The sequence below is a fragment of the Homo sapiens genome, chromosome 11, assembly GCF_000001405.40.
Source record: "Homo sapiens chromosome 11, GRCh38.p14 Primary Assembly".
NCBI classification, from domain to species: domain Eukaryota; kingdom Metazoa; phylum Chordata; class Mammalia; order Primates; family Hominidae; genus Homo; species Homo sapiens.
Window position 1 is genome coordinate 35,305,013 of NC_000011.10, and position 22,713 is coordinate 35,327,725.

General features: G+C 43.6%; 1 protein-coding gene across 15 annotated transcripts in view, besides 1 other annotated feature; it reads right to left on the reverse strand.

Annotated features, from left to right (window-relative positions):
* The window catches only part of SLC1A2 (solute carrier family 1 member 2), a 169,303-nt gene that overhangs the window by 53,808 nt on the left and 92,782 nt on the right, over positions 1 to 22,713 (reverse strand). For 14 of the 15 annotated variants that reach the window (XM_047427443.1, NM_001439342.1, XM_017018138.2 and 11 more), the window contains 4 exons: positions 12,365 to 12,504; positions 10,011 to 10,163; positions 7,186 to 7,436; positions 1,062 to 1,230 (listed from right to left, as the gene is read on the reverse strand). In XM_047427443.1, coding sequence (XP_047283399.1) covers positions 1,062 to 1,230; positions 7,186 to 7,436; positions 10,011 to 10,163; positions 12,365 to 12,494 — 703 coding nt within the window. In that variant the 5' untranslated portion in view covers positions 12,495 to 12,504. Of the gene's footprint in view, positions 1 to 1,061; positions 1,231 to 7,185; positions 7,437 to 10,010; positions 10,164 to 12,364; positions 12,505 to 17,548; positions 17,668 to 22,713 lie in introns of all 15 variants that reach the window. The other variant, NM_001195728.3, reaches the window with a different exon arrangement.
* Positions 701 to 790: an enhancer, noted in NCBI's record as "active region_4623". NCBI's record gives its function as "activates an Ori minimal core promoter by ATAC-STARR-seq in GM12878 lymphoblastoid cells {active_cell/tissue: GM12878}" and the evidence as "EXISTENCE:reporter gene assay evidence [ECO:0000049][PMID:35858748]".

A 22,713-nucleotide genomic window follows, 5' to 3' on the forward strand; every position in this document is an offset into this window, starting at 1 on the left:
CAAACCTTTAGAAATTGTGCTTGGATAAATAAACATACTTCATCCATCCAGATTCACCATTTCTCCCAGGTTTTGGCCAAATGCCCCTATTTCCTGTCTCGGGGACACCATTCTAGTGATGGATGGAGGTTACGGAAGGGAGTGGACCCACTGAGTGGGAGGGGAGCAAACTGGGCAGACTAGAGCCGCTCACATGGTAATAAACCTCTGTCCCTCATGGAGGTATTTTCTTACTGAACTCCTCAGCTCTCCACCCACTTTGAATAATGATCACAGCTCATACGGAGAGAGCACATGGCATGTGCTACTGTGCCCTATATGCACAATCACATTTCATCCTCACAGTAATCTACAAAATAGATGCCAATCCTATTTCCATTTTACAAATGAGGCTCAGAGAAATGGAGTAACTTGCCCAGGGTCAGATAACCAGTAAGTGGCCCATACTGGATCCAAACCCAGGTCTGCCCAACTGCAGAGCCCAAAAACCTCTAGGATGGCATGCTAAGAAGGTACTGGGCTAGGAGAAAGGGCTCACTGGGATCCCAGAAAGTAAAACAAGATAACAAGATAATCTGTAAAGCTCCCTTGGTACCTACTCCAACACTTTACAATCCTGGTAGCATTGCATTTGTTTGCAGACTAAGGGCTGTGGTGGTCCAGCCCCCGCACCTAGCACAGCACCAGTACATGGGGGCAGCTTTTAAAAAATGCTTAAGAAACGAAAGCAATGGATGTGTCACTTAATAACACAGAGAGTCAGAGAAAGTGACTTTCTAACACCACACAGAGAGTCAGGGAATGTGCCCAATGACGGTGAGCTCCCTCCTTTTTTCCCATACCCAGCTTCTTGCTGCCCTGTCCCCTTATGGTCTCCTCTGCCCTTCTCTCTCTTCCTTAAATCGCTCAGCTCTCAGTCCCAGTGACCCTCAAATTGCTCCCCAGAGAGAGCCTCCTGCTCCACCTAGAGGACAGCTGAGTCATCAGTTTTCTGAAAAGGGAGTGCAGGATAGCCCAGCCATTGCCAGGGAAGCAGAATCCCGGACCACCAGCTGGCCTACCTAAGACGTTCATCCCATCCTTGAACTCCAGGCCCTTCTTGATAACCATCTTAGTCTCCTCCGGCACCTCAGTCACAGTCTCGTTCAACAGAGAGACAACAGCGCTGGTTGCGTTGGCCTCCTCGTCCGGCGGTGGTGCAACCAGGACTTTCTTCGTCACTGTTTGAATCTAACAGAGTGAGGGAAAAAAGGCATAGAGCTGAGATTTGGCCTATAAGGTGAAAAAAAAAAAGATTGGCTACTCATATATTTTAAGGTTCCCAACAGGTTAACAATAATTAAGAAATGCCAAAACAAGGTTATGAAAACTGGAGAATATTTTATATGTCTATATTTACAAAGTGGTGTTTTATTATACACAGTGAGATACAATTGTCCTAATCACAGATAATTACACAATTTTTTATTTGTGCAAATTTATGGGGTACATGATAAATTTTTTAATGTATACAATGTGTGATGATCAAATCAGGGCATTTAAGGTGTCTAACATCTGAGTACAATGCATTTTTTAAGTACAGTCATCCAACTCTGCTATCAAACATTGAATGAATTCCTTCTATCTTTCTGTATGTTTGTACCCTTTAAGCTACTTCCCTTCGTCCTTCCCCTTTCCCCCCACTCACCCTTCCTAGCCTCTGTTATCTATTTTTCCACTATTTTTCCATGTGTTCAAATATTTTAGCTCCCACATATAAATGAGAAATGCAATATCTGTCTTTTTGTGCCTGGCTTATTTCACCTAAGATAACGACCGCCAGTCTTATCCATGTTGCTTCAAATGACACAATTTCATAAATATAGAATGTATGAAAATAATTTGCAAATGTACTATAAGTACTGTAGTCAATAATAGGACACAGGCTTAAACTTGGGGGATAAATGTCTTCTTTCACTCCTATGATTGTAGCTCAGAAACAGTATGAAATGTCTAACTTGGATGCTCTTCCCAATTGTGAGACCCAGTTAGATGGTCCTTCCAGTTGTGATGGTCCTTCCAGTTGTGATGGGCCCTGGATCTGGTTAAGAATAGGAAGCCTTGGCAGGGGTCAGATCAGCAACTCATGATCCACCTGTTTTCCCCTCTACCTGGTCCCCACTGGACAGGGGTATCACAGGCTGCCTCAGTTTGGGCTCCTTCTAGAGCCAGGCTCAGCTGGAAATCTCCATCTGGGCACCAAGAGTGCCAGCTGCCAGCAGCCACCATGGCAGGAGCATTTGCTTATATTTCAGATCCAAATTCAAGGTGGGAAGACAGCCACTCCTTCTGAGCAGTGATGCCAAGCCTTTCTCAATGTTCCCCAAGTGTCTCTGTCAGATGACTCACAAGGAACCTCTCCCGCTATTCCTCGACATCCATGGCAGTGGTCCTATTTTTAAAGGTGCCAGGCACCCTACATGCAGAGTGCTATAAAAATCCACATCTGAGCTTAAAAAACACCACCTCCAGGGGCATTAAAATAGAACTCAATGCAGAATCCTAGATTGTCAGTGCTGGCATGTAGTAGGTAACAGATGGCTGAACCCCGAATAGATACGGAAGAAGATGTACGGGAAAGTCAAGTGACTTGTTGGACGTCATGGAGTTATGGGCAGAACTGGGATGTCAACTCAGATGACCTCACCTCCATTGAGTTATTTCCACAGTCTGTGCTGTATGTTAAGCTATAGGGACCCAATCCTACTGTGCTGGTTCCCATAGGAAGCAATGCTGAACTGCCAGTTATTTAAAATGGATGGGAAGGGAGGTCAGTGTTCTCTGAGGTGAGGCAGGGTGCTCTCTGTTCTAGCCTGGCCACATGTACTCGTGCAGGGAGAGAGGAAGCCTAGGGCCTGCTGTGTGAGGGGAGAACAGGCAGCCCACTTCTCCCCTCAATGTGGCCCCTTCATCTGGGCAACATTGGTGTGAAGAGAATGCAGGGAGGATCACAAGAGAAGCTTATGTGAACAGCAGAGTCATGCTCCCAGGAAAGAAAAGGGAACCAAAGCCAACTGTCAACCTATCCTAAGGATGCTAAAGAAGCCTACGTTTGGTTTAAAAGAGAAATACTCATGGATCTAAATGAATGGTGGCTGTCAGGATCAGGCAGGAGGCCAGCTGCTACCTATTTTACATCCATTACGTCTTAGGTCAACAGTAGCCCTTCGACTCAAGGGCAGCTTGCTAGTTAGTTGCTGAAGCAGGATTCGAGATGAGTTATGTTTGACTCCAGAAATCCAGATTTCAAATAGCAAAGGCCAGTGATGTAAGTTGAAGCTGAGGAGATAGGAACACGAACGCAGGCCGAGTTCTCTGCCTGAGTTCCTGATTCACAGAAGCTGTTCGGTTGCACAACTCCATGTAAGTGCTGTTTTAGTCTGTTTTGTGCTGCTACGACAGAATACCTAAGACTGGATAATTTATGATAAACAGAAATTTATTTTTTCACCATTCTGGAGACTGGGAAGTACACAATGAAGATATCAGCATCGGGCAAGAGCCTTCTTGCTGCATCATTATATGGAGGAAGGTAGAAAGGCAAAGAGAGGCACAAAGGAGCCAAACTCATTCTTTTATAGCAGCATTAATCCCATCCATGAAAGCAGAGACCTCATGGCCTAATCACCTCCCAAAGGGTCCACTTATCAATATTGTTATAATGGCAACTAAATTTCAGCATGAATTTTGGAAGGGACAGACATCCAAAGCATAGCAGGTGCTAATTCCAGTCTCCCTGTCCCTAAGCCACCATCATGTCTCATCATAAAACCTGCAAAACCATAAACTGACCTACTCAACTTTCTTCTTGTCTGCATACAGTCTATAGGTAAGTGTGGCTACCTATAACCCTATCTATATCCTTAGCTTCCCCTGGCCCACCAAGTCATGCCTGAGCTGAGTTTACCTTCCTCCACTCACTATACCTCCACACTGGCCTCACACAGCCTCCTTTTTCTTTTCTGAACATTATAAGTACTTTTCAGCTTCTGCATATCTGTGCCTCTACTGAGAAGCTCCTTTCCCCAGCTCTTTGTAGGCCTAACTCATTCTGATCCCCTATCCTCTCAGCTGAAATATCTCCCCTAGTTACCACCAGCCTATCATCCTGCCTCTAGCCCTCAGAGAACACCTGTCTTAATGTTTAAGTCTCTTCTGTGTTTCCCTGATGTTTGTTTTGGTCTACCTCCCTCCCCTTTAATGTAAGTGAGCTCCTTGGGGCAGGGTCCTCATCTGTCTCCTCCCCCCGTGGCATCCTTGTACAAAGCAGAGAGCCTGGCAGCCCGTCCTGCTCACAAGTATTGGCCGAGTGAACATACACAGATCACGGAATTTTCTGGAGGAAAAGAACCCATGCGGTCTCTATTACTGGGCTGGATTTAACGTTGTAAGGTCATATCTTACAGCCAGTTACTGTCTTGGAAATCTCACTTTGGTTCAAAGTAAGCCCCAGAAAGCAAGCTGGAGACCTCTCTGCTCACAAAGACACAGGGACTTAACTTGGGCAAACCAGGCCCTGTCGCCTGGGAGGAGGCAGTCTCCACTCTGCGGGGAGCTCATCTTCCTCTTTACATTTCTGTTTCTAACTCTGGTCAAGGAGCCTCCTCCACTCAAGACAGGTTATTTTAAATGACTTCTAGCTGTACTCATGGACACAGAAGATGTCTCTCACGCACCCTTTCTCTCTGGAAATGCCACGTCCCTTTAAAAGAGTTTCCTGTCCTCAAGTCCTCTTCAGTGCCTTCCTTCCAGGCTTAAGGAATCTGTAACCATCCTCTCCCTGAGGTGGATTCTACACCATTCTTCCTCAGGTTGTCCTAATCCAAAGGGACCTTGATACTGAGCCTACTGAGGGACCAAGGCTCAGTCCTCATATGAATTTTGGCAATAGAAAGTTGGGGTCAGGGCTGGCGTGGGGCAGGGAATGGCTCAGGTCTCTATTCCAGAATGGCAGAGAGCAGCCTTTGCCATGGGCAGCTGCATGCAAAGACTGCCCATCCACCACAGCGCTCACCGAGTGTGAGTGTGGCCAGCTCCACAAAAGTTCACTCCAAGACCAGAGCAATAGCTCCAGGAGCCTGCCTGCTTCTTGGTCCTGCCTTCCTTTTTTCACAGAGCATGGCATGACCAGGCACAGAACTGTGTCCAAATCTGTCCTTCCCAGGCCCTCCTATGCTCCACTCTCCCCCAATCTACTACCAGCTCAGCCTCCTGCAGCTGCGATCCCAGAATGCTCTTTCCAAAATGTTAAGAATGGATAGCACCCAATCGTGTCTCTCACACTAAAGCAAGTCAGTTCATCTTTCTGAGCAGGCTGGCTGAGGGGCAAACACGCTATACAGATGGAGCCCACTAAGCACCTTCTTCTCCAGCTTATTTCTGTTTATTTCTGCATCCAACTTCCCTGGCGTGGAATGGTTTCCTTTAATATAGGTCCATGCTACATGTTCCACTAAAATAGTATCTGAAACCAGGGAACATATCCCAACCCAGAGTAATCTGGGCTCAGCAATGGTTAAGGACTACATTTTGGAGACAGCTAGGAATACATACTTTTCTTCTAAGCAAACTGTTTCCTAAGCTCATTCTTCTGTGCTTGGAAATGGCTGAAGTTTTAGCTTAGACTGCTTGGTTTTAGCTTAGTTTCTACCTGGGTTAATGGAAACCGGGGTGTGCGGGATGTGTTCTAGCCTATGCTGGCCTTGGGGCTAGAAAACAGGGTAGTGAATGGGGCCTACTCAGCTAACTCAGTGGTTCCACTCAACAGAATCACCTGTTTTAAAAAAATCTCAAGTTTAAAAAAATGTATAGGCATGTATGCAGCAAGCAAGAGTATACATTGCTAAGGAATCTGTACCCACTGCTACATACTTTTGTAGTGCCATTTTGCAACAGCCAGCAAACTCAAAATACAAAACTCCTTGTCCTGACAAGGACATTTTTACTTCTAGGAATTTATCCTTTAAAAATATTATGCAATCATGAAAAAAAGAAGAGATGACTTTAAAACATTGTTCAATGTTTTTCATTGTTCAAACATTGTTCTGTGAAAAAGTCAGATGTAACGTTTTATGAACAATGGAGTACCATTGGGTTAAATTCTTTTTTTTTGTTTTTTTGTTTTTTGTTTTTGAGACAGTATGTCACTCCGTCTCCCAGGCTGGAGTGCAGTGGCTCTGCTCACTGCAATCTCTGCCTCCCGGGCTCAAGCAATTCTCTTGCCTCGGCCTCCCGAGTAGCTGGGATTACAGGCATGCGCCACCACACCCGGCTAATTTTTGCATTTTTAGTAGAGATGGGGTTTCACCATGTTGGCCAGGCTGGTTTTGAATTCCTAACCTCAAATGATCCCCCTGCCTCGGCCTCTCGAAGTGCTGGGATTATAGGCATGAGCCACCACGCCCAGCCAGGGTTGAATTCTTTTAAAGATTATGCACACTTGCATAAGTGGCAAAAGAAAAATACAGGGGAGGAAACAGCATTCTCAACATAAGTAGCTCTAGAGAAGGGGAAGCAGAAGCTTCTAACTTTTACTTTGTGTACTTCTATACTTTCTAAAATTTTCATAATCTGCATGTATTACTTCCACAATTTAAAAAACTACCCAAGCTCCAGATTCATCTCTTGGAGATTCTGATTGTGTAGGGTATTTGTATTTTTTTAAAAGTGCCATTGGTGGTTTAGCTTTACTGCCACGTTTGAGAACCACTGTGTATTCTAGAAGGTTGTGGGCAAGGCTAATAAAAATATGCCCATGGACAACTCAAAGACACATTTCCCAGCCTCATGCACAAAAAGGAAAGGAAGAGATAGATATAAGGAGAGAGAGAGAGAGAGAGAGGGAGGGAGAGAGAGAGAGAGAGAGAGAGAGGCGGGGGGGGGGGGTGGGGGAGAAAGGAGGACAATCCCACAGCAAAAATATATTAAGTGAGCTGGAAAAAAAGGGATGTTTAAAAAAATTAAAACCAGGAGACTCCAATCCCAAGATCCTGCCCTAAACCACCTCATAGAATCCCTGGGCCTAGACAGAGATAATTATATATTTAGAAAATTTCTACCCAGAGTTGGTCTGTTAAAATACTCTTAAGTTATCGCCTTGATAACTTAGAGGACTGGAGAAGAGAGAACATCTGAACTCTGGGTTACCTGTTGAAAGCAGGCTTGGACAAGGTTTTCAGGGAAGAGATTTCGAATAAGGTCCAGGAAGGCATCCAGGCTGGACACTTCATCATTCTTCTTCCCAGGCCCCAGCTGCTTCTTGAGCTTGGGATTGCCTGGATGGATAGCCAAGACCAGAATGACCCCCAGTACTGCAGCAATGATGGTCGTGGACATGTAATACACCATGGCTCTCGTGCCCAAGCGGCCACTAGCCTTAGCATCCAGGCCTGACAACCCTGGATTGAAAAGAAATGCAGAAGGATTAATTCTATTACGTTTGTGCTAATGACCTGTGTCTACATTTCTATGACGTTAGCTTCATATTACTCAAATGTGTTAATGGTTGATTAAATCTCCTACTGTAGTCTTCCCTCAATATCCATGAGAGGGTTGGTTCTGGGACTCCCAACAGATACCAAAATCTGAGAGTGCCCAAGTTTCTTCTGTAAAATGGTGTAGTATTTGTATATAACCTATGCACATCCTCCTGTCTACTTTAAACCACCTCTAAATTATTTACAATACCTAATACAATGTAAATGCTATGTACATAACTGTTATACTATATTTTTAACTTGCATTATTTTGTATTTTTTATTAGTTTTTTTTCTCAAATATTTTCAATCTGCACATGTGGGACTCACAGATATGCAGGGCCGACTGTATTGAATATTTGATCAATCCCATAGTTTATCATTCTATTATCCAGGGAGATTTTCAAGATTTTACAGAACTGGGAGAGTTGGAGATCCTCCTGTTTAGAGTTTACAAATGGTCTGTAACAAATTTTTTGTCAGTCTGCAATAATGAGTTAAAATAAAGTTGAAGACATCCCATTTTTAATTCTGAGATTATTCCTTTCCACTTTTTATTTTTTTTGGTCTTAACATCTCCTTTGTTTTATGAAGCGATGCTGCTGGTACATGCTAGTTTTTAACTTGTTTATTTATTTATGTTTTAATGTCCTCACTTGGAAGACTAAAAAGCTAGTAGTTCTGTGCCACACTCAAAATGTCTTTTGAATATATTACTGGTAACTGACATGGAGAGTCTGAGAATAACGATTTTGCCCAGTCCTCTCATTTCTCTGAGGTGAAGCATGAAGATCCACATTCCCAGCCTCATGCAGGGATTAGGGAACACCCCGTGAAGCACCCTGCCAATGGTGGGCACTTCATCTATACCTAGGGAGGTTAGAGGAAATTCCAAGCAAATTCACAAAAACTCCAGCCCCACTGGGTTTTTTTCCAGTTGTTTCTTGAATGTGTTCACTTCCTGGTTTCAGTTCCTGCTTTTACCAGAAAGAGAGATTGAACCCCTTTTTGGGTGTTAGTCCTTTTTGCTATGGGGGAAGAAGTTAGTGATGTGAGCTGCTCTAAATTAAGCTGACCTACGTGTGACCTACTTCTCTTTACAACCTAGTCTAATTCTAGCCGACGGGAGCTAGGTTTCCCCACCAAGTTGGCCAACGTATGACCTGTTAACAGGTGCAGAGAACATTTTCTCTGGTTTATAGAGGAGCACTGATGGTAAATGCACCCTTTCACTCAATCTAGCGCTGAATGATAAGGTCCCACTTAGCCCCTAAGTGCCTGATCCTGAGTTCCAGCATTTCAGGTACTGGGGTCACTGGTCAACCAGCTGAAGCCTCAACCCAGCTCAGCCCCTGAATCTCCTGGAGTTACCAGAGCCTCACTCACTTCTTTCATGAGGTGGCCAGTCCAGGGGAACAACTTCTCCAGATCACTTAGCTGGCTGGTACCCAAATATGGACCAAAGCTCAGCTTCCTGCCCTTAACTCAGAGTTTAGTCTCCAAAGGGCATCAATTTATACCCTGTTTGAGCAATATTATTTGGTAAGGAGGAAAATACCAGTATAAGCCCACAGAGGAAGAACAAATTCTTTCAAATAAAGTAATTAATTATTTTAGTCAAAGATAATTGATGCTGGGACTCAGGATATACACCTGTTAACAAATCATACATTGGCCAACTTGGTGGTAGTGAAAAATAAGTGAACATGATGCCACATATTAGGAGTAACTTTGTTCTGAAAAACTCAGAGGGCTTTCATACCTAGCATTTCATTTATTTTTAATGCCAATCTCCCTCAATTCCCAATTAAAATAGTAGATAATTTCCTTTTCCATCTATTACCTTTATCAGTATCTGAACAAAATATAATTTAGAAAGGGGAGAAAAGTAGACATTAAAAATTAAGGCCAGGTGCAGTGGCTCATGCCTGTAAACCCAGCACTTTGGGAGGCTGAGGCGGGTGGATCATGAGGTCAGGAGTTCGAGACCAGCTTGGCCAATATGGTGAAACCCTGTCTCTACTAAAAATACAAAAATTAGCCAGGCATGATGGCACATGCCTGTAGTCCCAGCTACTCAGGAGGCTGAGGCAGGAGAATCGCTTGAACCCACGAGGCACAGGTTGCAGTGAGCTGAGATTGCACCACCGCACTCCAGCATGGGCAACAGAGGGAGACTCCATCTCAAAAAAAAAAAAAATTTAAAACCACTAGAGGTATCATCACTTGTAACATGTGGCTGTGTTTCCTTTTCTTTTCTTTTTTTTTTTTTCTTTTTTTTGCTGGAGAGAAAGACAAATAGACTGACTAATCGATGGCAAGCTTTTATTTCTTTAGGGTTGATTATCCTCATTTCAGAGACGGGAAAACCAAAGCTCTGAAATGAAATGACATAGACGATCACATTCACTCAACCAAATTGAGATTCTACAGTTAATTAAAAGCCAGGGCAGGAGTATGACCCATGTTAGCCAGGCACTAGTGAGGTAGTCTTACCTGTGATTAAGCTGGAGATGATTAGAGGGAGAATGAGCATTTTTAGCATCCTCATGAGTATATCCCCTGGGAAGGCTATTAACATAACCACATCAGGGTGGATGGGAGATGCCAAGCGAAGAAGCCCTCCACACACTGCTCCCAGGATGACACCTAAAAGGAAGGGGAAAACAATATGAATTTATTTTTTGCCTTCGTCAAATGACTTACTCTAGACACTTATTTCAGCAACATTGACCTTTCTCATGCTTCTGCAGTATTAAATGATGAACAATGTGTAACAAAAACAACATTAGATAAGTGAAGCTGATTTTGATGACTAGCAAGAGAACTTTCTATACCTCCAACTATTCTTAAAAAGTCAGCACCCAAAGAGTCAAGGAGAACTCAAGGCTTTATGAAAGTGCACACTGGCAACTTGACTCCAACTTATTTGAGGCTATTTGTCTACTTGGAGCCAGAAATTGTTTATAGAAATAAACTATAAGGGGCTGGGCACAGTGGCTTGTGCCTATAATCCCAGCACTTTGGGAGGCCGAGGCGAGTGGGTCACCTGAGGTCAGGAGTTCGAGACCAGCCTGGCCAAAATAGTGAAACACCATCTCTACTAAAAATACAAAAATTTAGCTGGGTGTGGTGGCGGAAACCTGTAATCCCAGCTACTTGGGAGACTGAGGCAGGAGAATTGCTTGAACCCAGGAGGCAGAGGTTGCAGTGAGCTGAGATGGTGCCATTGCACTCCAGTGTGAGCAACAGGAGTGAGACTCCATCTCAAAAAAAAAAAAAAAAGAAAGAAAGAAAGAAAGAAAAAGAAAAAAGAAAGAAAGAACCCACAAGGACAGATATTGCCTCCTTGCCCAGCTCAAGCTTGGCCACATGGCATGGCATTTAATGTGTGTCTTCTCATTGTAACTGGAGGCAAGATAAAATGAACATTTAATTGACCAAGCTAGTGTGAATTCTATTTTTTTCTTCCCATCTATTTTCTTTGGCTTCCAATAATTTCCTCATGGCTCACTCTCAAGGCTTGTCCTTGACTTCTATGTCCTTTTACATAGCTTTTAGATTGCTGATCTTATGGGAGCTCAAGAATGGACTCTAAGATATATAATTTTGGAGGAAACAATTTAGGCAGAGATGCTGGCAGGGATCTTTCACTTTACAGACTCAAAGTTCCCAGAAGAAAAATTTTATATCTCTGCAAATGGGTGGCCAACATGAATGACCCTTTCAGAAACCACAAGTTGGGTCATAGTACCACTGGCCATAAGGGAGGGATGGAGTTCCAGGAATGCAGGCTACAGTGTTAATTCCACAGATGAGGAAGGAGTAATGTGGCTGAAAGCCTGATTTTTTTTCTTCTGCAGGTAAAAATCCCACTCTCCAACTTCTTCAAGTCCTGTGATGAATTAGATGTGGTTACATGGCGGGTAACCTTTGGAAAACCTAACCATGCCTGTGGTTTCTTATTAAGTGAACTTAGCTGTGGCGAGCTCCCAGTCCTGATCCTGGGCCACTGGCAACCAAGGCATCTGTCTCAAAGGAAAGGCCATGGAATGGAGGGGTTCAGGTAGGTGTGTGCAGGTGGGTGGGTGGGAAGGACAAGTTGTTCACTGCTTCTCTGTGAAACCTAAGTGAGAGCTGCAGAACAAGGGAGGGATTGAGAAAGGAAATGGTGTGGTTGTCATTACAAGAAACTGTATATTGCCCCATTTTCAATAAACCCTCACGGGAATCTTAAGACCAAGATTGTATCAATAGCCTGAGAACAACCATCGCCTGGGTGAGGCCTGAAGCAGAGGAGGAAGAGGACTTGCAAGATGGAGCTGGAGCAGATCAAGGCATTGGGGCAAACATCTTCCACACTGACCTCATTAGCTAATGTGCCCAAATTACCTAAATTAATGATGTGTCTGAAGAAGCTCAGACCTTGGGAGCCATTTTAGTGGGGTTTTGTGCAATACTTGTGCTTATCTTGATGCAGGCGGTTCTCTAAATGTGGTCCATGGACCAATGCTTTGGAACCACCTAGGTTTGCTAATATGTAGATTGCAGGACCTCATTTCAGGTGGCCCAAAGCAAAGTCTCCATAAGTATAGGAATCCACATGCCAACACTCTCACAAGATATTTATTTGCAAAAAATTTAAGAACTACTAGAATCCAAAGGAGAATGAATGGCTAGAGGAGGTAAGGAGGAAAATTATATCACTGAAGCCTGGGCAGACAGGGCCCTAGGCAAACCACGTGGCTTCCTTTCTGGTGGAAGGGCTGGCTGCTGAGACCAGCTGCCCCACAGAGCCAGGAGAGTCCCAGAGAAGAGGGGGCTGGGGGTGGGGTAGTGCAGGTACCTACCAAACACCGTCAGGGTGAGCAGCAGATTCTTCCCCAGCTTGTCACACAGGCGCAGGCCCAGGTGCCGGTGCTTGGGTTCCTCTGAGCCAAGATGACTGTCGTGCATTCGCACTTCCACCTGCTTGGGCATATTGTTGGCACTGGAACAGAAGTGAAGGCAGAGATTAGAGAGACTGGCACCTCCCCTATACAGTTTCAGGGGCTCGACTAGTAGGAACCTCTCCAGGCACAGTTGGAATCTGGAACCATCTGCAGGAAAATAAAAGTAAGTGTGACTCAGGGTCACCTATAAGCAGGACAGGAGGACACACTGAGAACTGATGTGGATCCTCCCAGTAAAGGAAAGGAACACCGCATGCAATGGTAGGATCTTCCAAAGAGTTGCCCCCCGTGGTAACTTGGGGAAGGAAGTTATCATGTTACAGAGCCTTTACTTGAGTCTTGACCAAAGTTGCAAAGGCTAAAATAGAGATCCAAATCCAGATAGGTCTGGCTCCAAAGCCTGAGCTATTTTCTTCTTGTAACAACAGTAAAAAGGTGACTTTTTCAGGAGAGTCATACTTGAGTTACATCAACATTAAAATATCTCCAAGCTCAAGCCTTCCCCATCCTGACATGTAAACGTCACAAACACTGATCATCCAAGCTTTATTTCTTTTTTGGAAAAGATAGTTTATCTAGTAAAAAAATAATAATAATAATTCAACCTATTGTGGCTTTTAAAAGGCCACCTACATTATCAGGACAGCTAAACTGGCAAGAGCTAATACCACTTAGAGTCCAAGAAGTATGGCTTTAAGAAGTATTTTGATCACCTCCAGCTATGGCTGCAGCCAAGCCCTTTTCTGGGTTAACCTCAGGTAAGCCTAAGCCATCCTGGGAGTCTGCCCAAAGGAGCCCTTGCTGGGGTAATGGGAGTACTTCTCCTTCCTCAGCTTTGTCACTTCCCAGGCCAATAAGATTCCAGATGTAAGCTTGGGGATTGCCATAGGGAGGCCAATTTTTCACTTTGATATCTTAGAACATTTTTTTAGCTGCTATTTACAATCACCATCATTTGATAAAAGAAAAAAAATAAGCCTTTCACACCTAGAAAGAGAGGTGTCTCTGAACAGATGACAGTGCTTTCAAGACAGGGAGGTGTTGCATTATCCAGATAGTCTTGTCATAGACTGGAGAAAACTTCCTTTGGAACCAACACCGAGCTGCAGACCAGTGTTTTGGAATAACTGGTTATAATGGGAATAGTGTGGGTTTTGGAGTCAGAGGGCCTTGACTTCAAATCCTGACTCCAACTCTTGCTAGCTGTGTGGGGTGTAGAAAGAAATGCCTGATGCCTACTTCATAAAAATTAAACAAAAATATGCTAGCATAGTACCTTTCTCCAGTGCACACAAAGAAGAGACATATAACACCCATCAACTTCATGACAAGGATGACATTTTGTTCAGGGGGCTTACCCACTTGCCCTGCCATTCTAGCAAGACACCAAGAACTTAGCTTCCAGACTCAGAGTTAAGACCTGGAACCCAAATACAACTACTTGCTTTTTCATAACAGGCTGCTTAATATACTTGCTACCCAAATGTTTTAAAATTAGGAATAACATTGCATGACCAGATGAGAATGTTAGTCAAAATATAGGCTTCTTAGTCTCCCCTTAATGGCCTAATTTTCTATTCATCTAGTTAATTTCTGAGGCAACTTCTGGTTTCCTGACATATGTGTGCAATAACAATCCCTCAGACCATCTGAAAAAGAAAATAGGGTATGACTGCTCACAGCAGTTGGGTGAGGGCCTTTCTGATCAGTGAGCAACAAATATCACTTCCTCCCCTCGCCAAGTGAAACAGACAGAAAATTCATTTTACAACACAGCAGGGGGAAATGATCAAAATGACCTTTTTAACGTGGATAGACCATATTTCTGTGTTTGCAGTGGGATCTTTTTCCATTTTTAAACATGTCTCCAGCAAGTAATCTGAAGCTCTAAACCAGGAAATGTCAAACAAAGAATGGAGGTAGTATGCGTTCTGAAATGGTGAATGTATTTCCTTAGCCAGCTCTTGGCAAAACTCTCCAGTCCCCTTGAGATCATTAATCTCCTTGCCTTCTGCTTCATTTGAATCCCTCCTGCCATTGAAATGAGAATCAGGCACATGGTTGGTATTCAAGTAAAACTAGGAAGTATTTAAAGCAACCATTCTGGCAAGATCCATATGATGTAATGGAAGCGTCAGGCATCAAAACAGCCATGTCAAAGTGAAAACACACAAACATTAGGTTAGCATACACACCCAACCTGGCAATGTGGTTGGATGCCTGTGCCACACATTTCTTTGTTGTACAAAATTGCTGCCTCTTTAATGGTTTGTTTTTTAGGCCATAACAAAATGTCCCTGAAGCCCTGAATCAAAACAGCCACATCAAAGTGGCTACATCAAAATACTATAAACCCACAAATATTTATTGAGAGAATTCTCGTGAGTTACCCTCTTGGAATTAAACAGATATGGAAGACTTGTAAGAGTTCTTGATGTTTGCACATAGAAAATAATTTTTAAGGTAATTCAGGGACTCAGCTCGCAGCTGGAAACACAGAGTCCCCCAAGAACTCTTTGTAAAAATTCTGACTAATCTAAAAATTCCAACTATTCTAATTAGTCTAACTAATCACTACGTCTCCCAGAACACAAACAGAGACTGACATGGGAACTATCATATAGTATAGCATGATAGAATATTATATAATATACAGCTGCTTCTAAGCCTATATACCTTTAGAATAAGATATAAGTTTTAAAAAATGTGTTCACACAAACAGCTATATAAATGCTGATTGCAAACACACCTGGTAACAGTGACAATAACAGGCATAACTTATATTTATTGAGTGTTCTCTATGTATCAGACACTATACTCAGTAATGGGTATGGTACAATCTTTACTCTTAAAGAGCCTTTACTCAGAGAGGAAACATAAAGCACATTGTACTGTAATTGTCTGCTTTATGTACAGGCCATGAGCAAGCTTGCAAAGGAGTCTATGGGAAATCATAAGAACAATGCCTAACCCAGGTTCAGGGAAGAAGAAGGAATGTTCAAGAAGGGGTCCCAGAAGGGGCCGAGACCTGAGTCAGCTCTTGAAGGATGGATTTAATTTAAATGCCTACATTCTCCACCAGTCTATGAGCCCCAGGAGGGCAAGATTGTGATCTTTAACACCTAGTCCTGAGTGCTTAATCAATGTTTGCCAAGAGAAATTGAGAATTGAAAAGCAGCTCTAAAAGGGCCCCTTGCTTGCCCCTGGGAATAAGGCCCTTCTGCAGACAGACTGGCAGCATGCCACTTCAGTCAGATTTTGACCATTCGTGCATTTATTCCACAAATTTCTAGTGGGCCCATATTACAGGCACCATACTGTTGTTGATGTTAAAGATGTTGCAGTAAACAAAAAGACAGAGCCCTTGATATCATGGAGTGTGCACTTTAGTGAGAGAACAAATGCATGGATAAATACATTTTAAGTAGTGAGAAGTGCTCAGAGGGGGGTTGTATTAGTCCATTCTCACTCTGCTAATAAAGACATACCCGAGACTGTGAAATTTACAAAGGAAAGAGGTTTGACTCACAGTTCAGCATGGCTTGGGAAGCCTCAGGAAACTTACAATCAAATCATGGTGGAAGGGGAAGAGAACGTGTCCTTCTTCACATGGTGGCAGCAAGGAGAAGCGCCAAGCAAAAGGGGGAAAAGCCCCTTATAAAACCACCAGATATTGTGATAACTCACTCACTATCACAAAAACAGCATGAGGGTAACTGCCCCCATGATTCAGTTATCTCCCACGGGGTCCCTTCCACAACACATGGGGATTATGGGAGCTCCAATTCAAGATGAGATTTGGGTGGGAACACAGCCAAACCACATCAAGGGTGGAGGAGAAGGATAGCAGTGTGTGGGGAGGCAGCATGAGTTTGTATCAAGTGTCCAGGGAAGGCGTCTGTGATGAAGGGACATTTGAATAGAAACCTAGAAGAAATGAGGGGTTTCTTCAAGTATTTTATGCAATTTGTCTAGAGCTTAGCAAATAAATGGAACATACACAATTTGGAAATCTGTCTTACTACCAAGATCCTAAAGCTCCCACCCAGATGCACACTCTGGGGTCCACATGTTGATTTTTACATGGATTCAAATGAATATGTAATAAGTCATGCTGGGCCCTGTCACCATCATGAATATTATGAGGGTTTAAATGACTATTTCAGCGCCCCCTAAGAGATATGGTTACCAGGAAGAGGTGAGTTGGATACAGATGGAAAGCCTAAGGTCACAACAGCCAGCAGGTTTGCTCCCATGGCAATGAGCAGAAAGTGCCAAATCTGGTCTGGGAAGTCCACCGGATACACAGTAAGTCACGTCCAGTGGGCACGCTTACCCCTTTACTAATATTCCCTTCCTATGTCCTGTGGCTGTGCACACAGAACAAAGCAATAAAACCCAGGTTGGATTTGGGTCCACCAAATCCCTCGAGGCTAATGCTCTCTGACACTGCCCACCATCTGTGTTTCTGCTTGACTGCCTCCTAAATTGAGGAATATTAGCAATGCAATGCCTTAATGTTGGAAGTTCCAGTGCGCCAACTCAGGCCGATCTCTCAAATGGCCTCCACTGCCTAACAAAGTAAGGCCATGTGATGGGACAGCTGTTGGGATAATTAAAAACTTTTAACAATGAGCCCATAATTTCCTTCAGCCTTAGCCTCTCCATTGAATTATTTAAACAGCTGTTAATATTGCAATCTCTGCCCAGTTCTTTCTCATGCAAATCCACGTGAGTCCTGGTTCAAGGCAAGCTCAGCTTATCGTGCAAATCATCCTCTGTGACTCAGAAGGGAACGTGTAATGGGGCTAACGCTAAGTTTTAAACTATTCTCAGAACCTGCTTTTCATTAGCATTCGATTTCCCTTGCTTTGCCAATAGCCTGTAATAATAGGCTCATTAGATGTGGTGTTGGATTCAGATTTCCTGCTGCACACTTCAGTGTCACCTTAGCTGGCACCAAACTCTTTTTTCCACCTTCACTGATTTGATGAGGTGGCAACAGAACACTCCCCAGGGAGCCTAAAAGCAACTGGTGTGTTTCTCCTGGAGGATGTGAGGTTTGCAATGGGCTTCACCCACCTGTCCTTCCACTGCTGACATCTAACCTCTCCTCCCTGGCCCCAGGCTTCAGGATCTGGAGAGGTACTGGGGAGATAAAGATGTCCAGAGATTGCCCTACTGGAAGACACTAGGTCACCCTAGAATCAAGAACAAAAACAGTGCTCACTGCAGGTCCTCTCCCGTAAGACAGTTGTTGTATTTGGATAAGAATGCTGGAAATACCTGTTGCATCAGCTCGAGCACCAAGAACCAGGAAGCAGAGATTTCAGCTTTGATTGTCCCACATCCAGGGTTTCCCCCAGCTCCTTGAAGAATGCCACCCCTGCTTTAAAAGGGCCTGAAACTCTAAGACTTTCTGGCATTTCCAACAGCCTGCAAATCCCTCCACCCTTCCTAGATCCTGTAAGACCTGCCTTAACTGTGTCAAAGATGTTTACCAACCAAGATGTCAGTCTCTCTCTGACAGATACCGTGTTGTCACAGATCCTGCAAATGAAACTTAAAGGGTGACAGCCTCCAAAGTCTCCTTCAGTCCCTTCTTCTATTCATTGTGTCTTCACAGCGTTCATTTGCTAAATCACAGAATTACTTTCTGGTCCTGCTGGTGAGGCACTCCAGACTTCACAAACCTCTTTTCTATAGCTTCTTCCAGTCCATTCGAGGGGCTGGTTAAAGAATACAGTGTATAGCTATCCTGAATCATGATGGTATTGGGCCAGGATAGGACTGGAAGTCAGGAAGTCTGTGTTCTAATTCCAGGACGGCTGCTAAATGGGTGTGTCAGGGGAAAAGTATGAGGATAAAATGGATATAATGTTACCTTCTGTGATCAACAGACAGTAGGGTAAACTGCTATGAAATGGTAAAAACACGTTCTAATGTAAGATATCAATAAGGTTTAAGTATCAATTTTGGCCCATTTTTATTTTTTAGGTCCCATTCTCTTAATCTATAAAATAAGAGGGTTGAATTGGAAATTCTTTAACATTTAAAATCCTGTGATTCTCTAATTCTCCAGGTAGGGAAAAGGATAGTAGTAGCATTCAGTTCTAGAGATGTGGATTCCATTCTAGGTACCCACGATGGAATAAGCTTAGAGCTGACCATGAAGACAAGTCATTTCATTCGCCATGAGACAGCTCAGTAGCTATACCACAACCCTCACAGGGAAAGGTAGAGATGAGCGACAAACCAACAGCAACAATAACAACAACCATTTCTTGATGTTTTTGTGTTCCTTTTAACCTGTCCTATCTGTTACGGAAGCATGTTTTTCTAGGGCCAATAAAGCTGGGTTGGGATGAAATTCAGTACACAATTCAGACGTGAGCATCTTCTAATTCCTCATCCATCCTTCACCCATTCTCAGGTCTAGATTTCTAACATGGGCAGGTCAATGCCTTGGGAACACAGTCAAACAGGTAAACTGGCATTGGGACCAGCAAAGTGCTAAACTTACCACTAAGTCATTGAGAGACCACCTACATCAGGCACAGTCAATTACTGTGGAACTGGTGAGGTGGCACTCAGAAAAGATAAGATGAGAAATCGAAGGAGAAGAGCCTTTTTTTCCATATTGCTTCCTAAGCACAGTGGCCCAAGCCAGCTAATACAATGAATGGCAGGTATACAGCCAGTGGAGCCTTCAGGTGTCTACACAGAAGCTGCAAAGACAAAGTAGCAGGAGACAAAGTTTTCAAGGGATCAATAAAAGTTGTATTTGTTTGGCTCAGAAACAGATGTTAAAACACCAGCTCTGATGAGTAACTGTCAGAAGACAAGTTGGTGGAATGCAATCACATAATTACATGGCCATTGATTCTTGGTTAAAATGTCTCTTTTCTGGCAGTGGCTGAGACAAGACATTTAGTCATTTGGACAAACCATGCAACTCACTGGGTCATTACAGAGCTCCAGTGAGATGATATCTATGAAAGCACTGATATAGTATCTGATATATAGTAGATACTCAATTTTAATATCCTTTCTTTGCCTGAAATCCCTCATATGATGCAAAATGACCAGTAAGAGAGTTTACTCACTGTTGAGTTTTAGTAAATCTCCTTGCCAATACATTGGTGCTGGTGCTTTTTACAAACAGAAAGTCCCAGAGGGTCCAGAGTGGGTGGGGGCCTGGGAAGGTCCCACTGCCATCAGCCTCCCTATGATGGAATGACTGGATAACCCCTCAAAAGACATCAGGAGTACAACCTTAAGGATATGGCCTCTGGACTTCTGTGAAATCCTTCCCCAGGCAGAGACTTAGCCAGCTTTGACCCAACAAATTTGCTTATTTCCAGATAGACTCATCACCCCAAACAGAAATAAGACACCAAGTAACAATGAGCCTCCAGGGCCCAATGAGAGACTGGGGTGGGGTGTTTGATCATCTCAAATTGGGAACCTCTTCTAAAAATAAAGATTATGCCATGGCCCAGGAACATATTGGCCAGCCTAGTCCCCAAAGGCCTGTCAATTCTGAAGTAATGGCTACCCACCTCTGGTTCATGGAACAAGACGAAAATACATTTGATAACTTCACACAACATCAACAAGCTGAGGAAGATTCATGTGGCATGCACTCTGGGTTTTGAGCCGGGGCAACTTGGCCCCTTTCCAGATGAATAAGCCAGCTTGCCTTGAAGCAAACCATCTCTGCTAGCTAAAACATCCTCTACCCACCCTCCAACCCAGCCTTCTTAGACCAACTTTTATTCCTTCCAAATAACTCAGGAATGACTTCCCTCAGGAAGCCTTTGATGACTCCCAGGTTTGCTTTGTAGATGCAGTTTACCATGTCGCCTGTGCTCTCAAGGCATTTTTCACAGTTTACTTGTATGTTTTCCCCACTAGAACATAAACACTTTGAGGACAAACTGTGTCTTATTTGTCTCTGTCTCCACCATGCCTAGCATCTTCCTGGCACATAGTAGATGCTCAATTAGTTTATGTTGCCTGAAGGAATGAATGAATGGATGATTAGGTTAAAATATGTTCTTGTCACAGGTTCTTTGTGACACTCCATTGTAAGAGGTAGTGGTCCAGAAGGCTAACAAATCTGAGAAGAAGAGAGAAATGAGAGAAGGAATATCAGAAATGGTTTCAAGTGGGGAAGTCACGTCCTGTAAAAAGCAGGCGGGCCAGGTGAAGTGGTTCATGCCTGTAATCCCAGCACTTTGGGAGGCTGAGGCGGGTAGATTGCCTGAGGTCAGGAGTTTCAGACCAGCCTGGCCAACATAGTGAAACCCTGTCTCTACTAAAAATACAAAAAATTAGCTGGGTATGGTGGCAGGCACCTGTAATCCCAGCTACTCGGGAGGCTGAGGCAGAAGAATCACTTGAACCCAGGAGGTGGAGGTTGCAGTGAGCCGGGATCACACCATTGCACTCCAGCCTGGGCAACAAGGGTGAAATTCTATCTCAAAAAAAAAAAAAAAAAAAAAGGAGGGAACACCTGCATTGGGAAAACCAGTGTGTAGCAGAAACGGGCAGCATCACAGCAGGTCTGGTTCTTTTCTGCTGGTGGTTGTGATCCAGCTGCCCTGACCAAGGATGGTGGCCTCAATGCTCCCAGCACTCTTGAGGGAAGATGGAACGAGGAACCACTCTAGGTTCACCCAACAAGGCCTTTGGGGAAACTGATGAGGACCCGGGAAGATGCACTTGTCCGTGAAGGATATCTTAGGACCCAACTACCAAGCATCAACATCTCTAAATTGGACCCTCCAAAATGTGGTCCTTCTGCTAGAAAGCATGAGTACTCATTCCCCTTCCAAGAGCCACTGGAACCCTGAGCTTGAGGTTAAAAGAGCTCAGGATTTGGCCCTCAGGCCTGGGAGTTTCTTCTAGCCTCTGAAGTTTCTCAAACTGAGCCTTTCCAATCAGTCTCCCAGATGGGAGTGACTGGGATGTTGACTAAGAGGTGGTTTAATTAGCTGCAGCGCCTTCAGGCACTAGGCAGAAACTGGGTGAGGTGCTGTATACCTTAGCCAGGACTGGGTCTTTTTATCACACTTTACAACTGCTTTTCTTCAGTGCAGTCTGTCTCTTTTTTCTTCCTTCTAGACTGAGCAGCCAACCAGGCAATGTAGCATCAATCCCAAGCAAGAAGGCAAGTCACTACCATGACCTTGCAAATTGCAAGATTTACCATGGCAGGCATTCAAAACGCCACACAATTCTTTTGTGAGATGATGTTTAAGAGCTTCCTCAAAAGTTCCCTGGAGACCTTCAAAGTCACCCACTTCTGGCTCCCAGAGACCCAAATTTCCTCCTTGAGAGAACTATCCCTTTGGATTCCACCCAAGGACCCAGATTTAAGCCAGAAACTCACGGAAAAAGCAACCCATTCACTGACACCTTAGTATAAAGGAGATTCTCAATCCATCCCCCAAAATAGAATTGTCTGGAGGAACCCCTTAATATAGGTCCTGGACAGAACCATATCTGGAAGCCAGACAAAAGGAGATGTCAAAACATAAATGACGTAAACTTTGCTAACTGCATACCATTGCCAGGATCAGTCTTGAAGTCAACCGTGTTTGAAATTCTGAGGCCTCCACAGCGTTTCTTGAATGCTAGCAATTTTATTCTCCTTTTTTTCCTTTTTAATCCAGATGCTCATTTCACATGAGTGTGCAGTTTGTGGAAATTAATCACACTATTCATGTAAGATTTGTGTGCTTTTTTGTCTGAGTGCTAAACTTGAGCTAAAGTTGAAAAATAGGCAAATTAAATTATGGTGTTAGAAGTAAATACATATAGTATATCTATCTTTGGCCTTAAATGGCTGATTCCCATACTGGTGGATTTCCCAGCAAAAGAACAGGTACTAATTTTGCCCAAAGAACACCTTATACTTTGGGAACATGTAAACATCTCCTTCAGATGAGGCAAAACAGCGGGGCCTTAAGGTAGTCCAGGTTATAACAGAGTGACCTCACTGGCCAAAGAAGAAGTTTGTGGCCTTCATCTTCCTTCTACTCTTCCATGCCCATAACAGCAAAGAACTCTCATACATTTCCTTTCTTGTCTTCCATAACAGGAACCCAAGCAGACTCTTCTCCTTGTGTTCATCTTTCAATCGTAAATAATAACCAACATTTCATCAGTTTAACTTTCTAACAAATAAGCTAATAATAACATTTGTGTCATTTAAAAAGCGTTTTTGCATTCATCAAGAG